The sequence below is a fragment of the Homo sapiens genome, chromosome 13 (genome assembly GCF_000001405.40).
Source record: "Homo sapiens chromosome 13, GRCh38.p14 Primary Assembly".
In the NCBI taxonomy this organism is placed as follows: domain Eukaryota; kingdom Metazoa; phylum Chordata; class Mammalia; order Primates; family Hominidae; genus Homo; species Homo sapiens.
Genome location: NC_000013.11, coordinates 45,384,476 through 45,392,645, shown reverse-complemented (window position 1 = coordinate 45,392,645; position 8,170 = coordinate 45,384,476). Strand labels below are relative to the sequence as shown.

Genomic DNA, 8,170 nt, shown 5'->3' with positions numbered 1-8,170 from the left:
CTTGAACCCGGGAGGTGGAGGTTGCATTGAGCTGAGATCACTGCACTCCAGCCTGGGAGTCAAGAGTGAGACTCCATTTCACAAAGCATAAATAAATCGTAAAACTGGGGAAAGAGGGGAGCTTTTTTTTTTCTTTAATTTTATTTTTTAGAGTAGTTTTAGCAAAATTGAATGGAAGGTACGGAGATTCCCATGTACCCCTGTCTCCTCCATCATCAACATTCTGCACCAGAGCAGTGCATTTATTACAACTGATGAACCTATTTGATGCATCATTGTCACTCAGAGTCCATAGTTTACAGTAGGGTTCACTCTTGGTGTTGTACATTCTGTGGATTTGGACGAATGTATAGTGACGCATATCCACCATTATTGTATCATACAGAACAGTTTCACAGCCCTAAAAGTGGGGAGATTGGCCTCAGTTCGCCTACCTAAGAGACTAAATGACTTACCCATATATGGTTGCCTCCATATGAAGAGCAGTGAGAACCGCCGGCCGCTGGTGTGTCTCAAATGCCTGTGAACAGTGAAATCCTCACTTGGATGGTGGCACCTGTTAGACACAATTGGCTTTAAATCCAGGATATTTATTTTTAAACCAGCAGCTGGGGAAATGTGACAGGGTAAATTTTTGGTAGGTTACAAGTAGATTCATTCTGTAGCAAAGGAGGGAAGTATAAGACAGTGTATAAATATGTTTCTCAAAAGGTTGATGTAAATAGTGGAACCATGAGTACCAAGAGCAAAACACTGGAAACAACTTATATGTCTGTAAGCATCTCCTGCTTTCCAGACTATGGCCCCTCTGTATAATGCTTGCCACGTTCTTCATGAGAAGAATGAGTTCCATCTCAGCCTGCTGAGATTTCTTCTTCTTTTTTTTTTTTTTTTTTTTTTTTTTTTTTGAGACAGGGTCCTGCTCTGTCGCCTAGGCTGGAGTGCAATGGTGCATGGTCATGGCTTGAGCCTGGTTAATTTTTGTATTTTTACTAGAAACAGGGTTTTGTCATGTTGCCCAGGCTGATCTCAAACACCTGGATTCAAGCAATCCGCCCATCTTGACCTCCCAAAGTGTTGGGATTACAGATGTGAGCCACCGCGCTTGGCCACGATTCCGTGATGGTCAAAGAAATCAAAACGTCTGTCAGCTAGTGTTCAGTTCAGGCTGAGGTGAAAAAATTTTTTTACTTGTAAAATATACATAACATAAAACTTGGCCGCCGCGCTCCGAGCCCCCATTCCCGAGCTGCCGCTGTTGTCGCTCGCTCAGCGTCTCCCTCCCGGCCGCCCTCTCCTCGGGACGATGGCGCGCGGTGGCCGCCTGGGGTTAGCCCTGGGGCTGCTGCTGGCGCTGGTGCTGGCGCCGCGGGTTCTGCGGGCCAAGCCCACGGTGCGCAAAGAGCGCGTGGTGCGGCCCGACTCGGAGCTGGGCGAGCGGCCCCCTGAGGACAACCAGAGCTTCCAGTACGACCACGAGGCCTTCCTGGGCAAGGAGGACTCCAAGAACTTCGACGAGCTCACCCCGGACGAGAGCAAGGAGAGGCTAGGGAAGATTGTTGATCGAATCGACAATGATGGGTATGGCTTTGTCACTACTGAGGAGCTGAAAACCTGGATCAAACGGGTGCAGAAAAGATACATCTTTGATAATGTCGCCAAAGTCTGGAAGGATTATGATAGGGACAAGGATGATAACATTTCCTGGGAAGAATACAAACAAGCCACCTATGGTTACTATACCTAGGAAACCCCGCAGAGTTTCATGATTCTTCAGATCATCACACCTTTAAAAAGATGCTGCCACGTGATGAGAGAAGATTCAAAGCTGCAGACCTCAATGGTGACCTGACAGCTACTCCGGAGGAGTTCACTGCCTTTCTGCATCCTGAAGAGTTTGAACATATGAAGGAAATTGTGGCTTTGGAAACCCTGGAGGACATCGACAAGAACGGGGATGGGTTTGTGGATCAGGATGAGTATATTGCGGATATGTTTTCCCATGAGGAGAATGGCCCTGAGCCAGACTGGGTTTTATCAGAACGGGAGCAGTTTAACGAATTCCGGGATCTGAACAAGGACGGGAAGTTAGACAAAGATGAGATTCGCCACTGGATCCTCCCTCAAGATTATGATCATGCACAGGCTGAGGCCAGGCATCTGGTATATGAGTCAGACAAAAACAAGGATGAGAAGCTAACTAAAGAGGAAATATTGGAGAACTGGAACATGTTTGTTGGAAGCCAAGCTACCAATTACGGGGAAGATCTCACAAAAAATCATGATGAGCTTTGATAGACACTCACCAGAATATGGCAGACTGTCATAGGCATTCTGTTATTGTCTTGGATTGTTGCTACAACTGTCTAATTTACAGCAGTTGTGATCCCACAAAAAGCAAGTTTATACCTCAGATTGGGGTATAAAAATTGTTTTTCGCTCAGTATTTACTGGAAAATGGACATCACTAGTCTTTCAGTAAGATTTCTCTCAAAACACGTGAAAACCTTGGTAAATTGCAATTCTTGCTGGGGATATATTGGTACAACATGACTTAAAACTTTTTTTTTTTTTCTATTAAAACTTAAAGGGGAACAAAACTTGAAAAAGCCCTGTTCTTCAGAAGTTGAGTGGGTTGAGGGAGGCAGTAATATGAAGTGACTGCTGTGTATTTTAACTACCAGATTTTTTATATTTGCCACTGTTAAATAGTTGGGAAATCCTGATTAAGTGAAAGTGGTATCATCCTAGGTAAGCTTATTTCAGAACAAGTCTAATATTTCAGATTCTTTCTTTTCGACTTTATACTCTGAGTTATTACTTACTGTAAGTGGTGTATATGAAACCTCCATGCATTTTCCAGTATGGATCTGCTAATATGCACAGTAAATCCATGTCTTTGTTTGTTTTTCTATTAAAAAGCAATCAAGAAAGATAATGTGAAAAAGAAAGGAATGTAGAGGTAGGGAAAGGATGAATGTCAGACATTTGAAGAACTATAGTAAAATGATAAACACTAAATATACTTGAGAAAACTTTCTTAATATGCCAATGAGGTAGGCCTGATCTTTGAAATAGTGAATAGGAATACAATGCATTTCCTCAATGATCACTGATTAGAATGAGGTGGTGGGATCCTTGGGAAGCCAAACGGAGTGGAGTTCTGGATCATGTCCCATCCAGTCCAGTGAATCCACGACCCTCAGACCTGTCCCCCCACAACAGCTTATACCATGGAATGAGGACAAGGTGATACTCTGAGCTGTGGACTGAACTGGCAGACACAACCTGTACAGATTGAAATTTCACCTTGTAAGGAGGAAGTGAATGAAATAAAGGATCCCCCTAAGGAAAAAAAAAAAAAACTTTACCATCCTAACCATTTTTAAGCGTACAGTTCAGTGACATTAAGCACATTCACATTGCTGTGTAACCATCGCCACCATCCATCTCCAGAACTTTTTTGAAATAAATGGTTTTGAGTAGATTTTGGTTTTTAATTGATTTAGCATTGTATGTCCTTGTAGCCCTGGTACAGGCCCAAGCTGGAAAATAAGAGCCCCAACTTCCATCTGAATACTTGGATTTTTCATGCTTGTGAGAGGCTCCCATAGTTCCCTGAATTCATCTAGAAATAGCAACTATCGTGTCAAGCAAATATTTTTCATTCAACCAGCCTACTCCCTGGGCTTCAAATCCTTTCATATGAGGAACAAAGCCAAACACCAGCAGTTGGTGATTGCTGTTTAGGTCACTCTTCAGTGCTGTTCCTCAGCATTCCTGTATCTATACGCGGGCATGGCCTCACCGAACACAATACAGAGTGGTCCAGTGCACAGTTGCTTTTGAGTTCTGTAATAACTGGTGGTGCCTGTAAAAGTCCCAGTGCTTTGGGAGGCCAAGGCAGGAGGATTGCTTGAGCCCAGGAGCTCAATTTTTTTTTTGAAGCAAGGTCTCTCACCTAGATTGGAGTGCAGTGGTGTGATCTCAGCTCACTGAAACCTTCACCTCCCAGTTCAGGTAATCCTCCCACCCCAGCCTCCCGAGTAGCTGGGACTACAGGCACGCACCACCACACCCTGCTAATTTTTAAATTTTTTGTAGAAATGGGGTCTCCCTATATCGCCCAGGCAGGTCTTGAACTCCTAGGCTCAGGAGATCCTCCTGCTTCGGCCTCCCAAAGTGCTGGGATTACAGGCAGGAGCTGCTGTTCCTGGCCTCAAAAAATTTTAAAAAATTGGCTGGGCACGGTGGCTCACGCCTGTAATCCCAGCACTTTGGGAGGCCGAGGCGGGCGGATCATGAGGTCAGGAGATCGTGACTATTCTAGCTAACATGGTGAATCCCCGTCTCTACTAAAAATACAAAAAATTAGCCAGGCGTGGTGATGGGCACCTGTAGTCCCAGCTAGCTGGGAGGCTGAGGCAGGAGAATGGCATGAACCTGGGAGGCGGAGCTTGCAGTGAGCAGAGATCGTGCCACTGCACTCCAGCCTGGGCGACAGAGTGAGACTCTGTCTTAAAAAAAAATTAAAAACATTAACTGGGTGTGTTGGTATGTGCCTGTAGTCCCAGCCCCTTGGGAAGCTGAGGTGGGAAGATCTCTTGATCCCAGGAGTTTGAGGCTGCAGTGAGCCACGATTACGCCACTGCACTCCAGCCTGGGGGACAGAGCAAACTGTCTCTAAACAAACAAACATACAAAAACAAACAAGCAAACAAAAAACCGCTGTGGCCATGTAACTCAGAAGTTTGCCCACCATGCCTTCGCTGTGACTGTATGCTGAGGCGTGGGGCAGCTGGAGGTTAGAGCAGATCCCACAACTGGGGCAGGAACAGTGGCGTGCTGGAACTGGTCCAGCAGCGTATGAGAGCAGATTGTCACACTTTCAGGAAATTTGTGGGCCGGTTATTACAGACATTATTAACAATTAAGTTATATAAACATAGTTAAATAGATTATATTAAAGACAAAGGCAAATAAACTTCACCACTTCCTAATTATTCACTAGTGTCTGTGCTCTTGAGGTTATTTCTGTCTGTTGTATCTGTCTGGTAGAAATACTGTAAAATGTGCTATTGCACATCTTCCCAGCTGCACGTTGACATTGTTGATAGCTTGATATTGGCCATGATGGTGAGAGGTGAAGCCAACTGGGCTTCTGGGTTGGGTGGGGACTTGGAGAACTTTCTGTCTAGCTAGAGGATTGTAAATGCACCAATCAGCGCTCTATGTCTAGCTAGAGGATTGTAAATGCGCCAATCAGCATTCTGTAAAAATGGACCAGTCAGCACTCTGTAAAATGGACCAATCAGCACACTGTAAAATGGACCAATCAGCAGGACATGGATGGGGGCCAAATAAGGGAATAAAAGCTGGCCACCTGAGCCAGCAGCAGCAACCCGCTAGGGTCCACTTCAACGCCCGGAGATCTTTGTTCTTTCGCTCTTAATTAATAAATCTTGCTGCTGCTCAGTCTTTCGGTCCGCACCAACTTGAAGAGCTGTAGCATTCACTGCCAGGGCCTGCGGCTTCATTTCCTTAGTCAGCCAGACCACCAACCCACAGAGAGGAACAAACGACTGCAGACACGCCACCTTTAAGAACTGTAACACTCACTGCGAGGTCCGTGGCTTTATTCTTTTTTTCTTTGAGATGGAGTCTTGCTCTGTTGCCCAGGCTGGAATGCAGTGGCCTGATCTCAGCTCACTGCAACCTCCGCCTCCCGGATTCACGCCATTCTCCTGCCTCAGCCTCCCTAGTAGCTGGGACTACAGGCGCCCAGCTAATTTTTTGTATTTTTAGTAGAGACGGGGTTTCACCGTGTTAGCCAGGATGGTCTCGATCTTCTGACCTCGTGATCCACCCGCCTCAGCCTCCCAAAGTGCTGGGATTACAGGCGTGAGCCACCGCGCCCGGCTGGCTTCATTCTTGAAGTCAGTGAGACCAAGAATCCACCAGAAGAAATAAATTCTGGACACAATGGGAGTGCTTATACTGCAGATACTGACAGATGCTACAAATCAGGCCTTTGTTTTGTTTTTGCTCTGGAGATCTGGTTGTTAAACATTTGCCAGCACTCTGTTCACCACTAGGTAGGAGGGCAGACAGAGCCAGGTAGAATATCCTATGAAGTTAGCCACCTGACCCTTGTGGGAACAAGTTGGGATCACGTTCATGCAGCCATTGTTATTTTGCATCATATGTGGACCTTCACACTAAGATTATAAAAAAAATTCATCCCTTGACTGTGTCCCTCAGGGCCCAGAGGACACTCCCTTTAATGAGGTTTTAAGAAATGTGCAGGCTGGGTGTGGTGGCTCAGGCCTGTAATCCCAGCACTTTGGGAGGCCAAGGCGAGAGTATCACTTGAGCCTAAGAGTTTGAGACCAGCCTGGGCAATGTAGGGAGACCCCATCTCTATAAAAAATTAAAAAATTAGCCAGGCATGGTGGTGCATGCCTCTAGTCCCAGCTACTCAGGAGGTTGAAGTGGAAGGATGGCTTGAGCCCAGGAGGTCAAGGCCACAGTGAGCTGTCATCATGACAGTGCACTCCAGCCTGCGTGACAGAGTAAGACCTTCTCTTACAAAAAAAAAATGTGCGGAGGAGAGCTCCATTTCCCTTTAGGAGCTTTGTAGCGGGTATCCTCTGCCTGCTGGGGGTGACAATAAGAAATGCTACTCTTTAAATTGCCTTCCTTATTTCAGAGACCAAGTGACAGTGTTTAACACCAGAGACACAGTGGGCACAGTTACTTTCATGGGCAGCAGGGCCACAGTGGTAAAATGAATGTTTTTGACTTGTGAGGGTCTTTGGTAGTATCTCTAGGAATAAAATAGCCTACTAAAATATATGTTGATCTACATAATTAGAAATTATCAGGTAAGTAGAATTCTAATTTGGATCACCATAATAGTCATGGCCCTTCCCCCAGTTCTGGGAGCTGAACAATTTTGCAGACCTGGAGCCCACTGACATTGCTGCAATATATACTAAAAATCATTCTTCAAGCCCTAAGAGACCCATGGCCATTGTCATGGGAGAGGAAAATACTTGGGACTGTTTCAGGATCGCTGAACACTGACTCTCAACTGTTGCTAATCTCTGAGACTGTATATGTTGGGTCAGGCTATTTTAGGCTTTGGTAGTGTCATCAAAAATCCCAGTGGCAGACAACAAAAGTGTCGCTCTGTTGCCCAGGCTGGGGTGCAGTGGCATGATCTCGGCTCACTGCAACCTCCGACTCCCAAGTAAAAGCGATTCTCCAGCCTTGGCCTCCTGAATAGCTGGGATTACAGGTGCCCCCCACCACACCTGGCTAATTTTTGTATTTTTAGTAGAGACAGTGTTTTACCATGTTGGCCAGGCTGGTCTCGAACTCCTGACCTCAAGTGATCCTCCCGCCTTGGCCTCCCAAAGTGTTGGGATTGCAGGCGTGAGCCACCACGCCTGGCCAACAAAAGTTAACTTCTTATTCTTGCTATGTGTCCACTGCAGCTTGACTGAAGCTCTTTTCCATTTTATCTTCACTCCAGATGGAGGCTGTGGATCAGCCTCTGTTTGGAACATTGCTTAGTCTTATGGCAGAGGGAAAATACATCATAACAAAGCACACATCAGCTCTTAGATCTTCTGTCTAAAGGTGACGCATGTCACTTTTGTTCACATTTCATTTGCAAGTCACGTGGACAAGACTGCAGTTAAGGAAGTATGATTCCTCAGTAGGAAAGGAGCCAGAATATTTGGCAAACAATGATATATTCTACGTGATTTCCTGTTATCTCTCCATTGCTTATTATCAATATTTAATTGATTGCTGCTGCTGTTTCAAATATGTTATTCTTACTAGAGTAAATCAAAATGGCTTTTGACATGTGGGATGCAGCTATTTATGTAAAATATACTTTTTTTCCTGCTGTATTGGTTACAGGCACTTTTGGAAGGTGTTTGCTTTCACATGGCAGGGACAGCAGTACATCTTCACGATTTGAGCTCAGGTCTATGGCAACTCTCCTGTTCTGTCATAAGCAAGGCTTCAGGGGTCTTGATAATCACAACATCCCATAAAATGCAGAACTAGTCCATTATATGGATAATATGTTGAGCATGTGACATTTCTAGGAGTTCAGTGGCCTGAGGCATGTTGGTTATCTCCTTCAAATGAAAAC

General features: G+C 45.2%; 1 long non-coding RNA gene and 1 pseudogene across 1 annotated transcript in view, besides 1 other annotated feature; one reads left to right on the top strand and one right to left on the bottom strand.

Annotated features, from left to right (window-relative positions):
- TPT1-AS1 (TPT1 antisense RNA 1) overlaps positions 1,163–8,170 on the bottom strand; it is a 50,139-nt gene continuing 43,131 nt past the window's right edge. Inside the window, exons 10-11 of the long non-coding RNA NR_024458.1 lie at positions 2,826–2,911; positions 1,163–1,614 (exon numbers count right to left, since the gene is read on the bottom strand). This is a non-coding gene — a long non-coding RNA (TPT1 antisense RNA 1). The remainder of the gene's footprint in view (positions 1,615–2,825; positions 2,912–8,170) is intronic.
- RCN1P2 (reticulocalbin 1 pseudogene 2) lies at positions 1,220–3,352 on the top strand (annotated as a pseudogene).
- Positions 6,418–6,712: an enhancer, noted in NCBI's record as "tiled region #12652; HepG2 Activating non-DNase unmatched - State 6:EnhF, and K562 Activating DNase matched - State 6:EnhF". NCBI's record gives its function as "activates a minimal TATA promoter and a strong SV40 promoter by Sharpr-MPRA in HepG2 and K562 cells {active_cell/tissue: HepG2 | K562}" and the evidence as "EXISTENCE:reporter gene assay evidence [ECO:0000049][PMID:27701403]".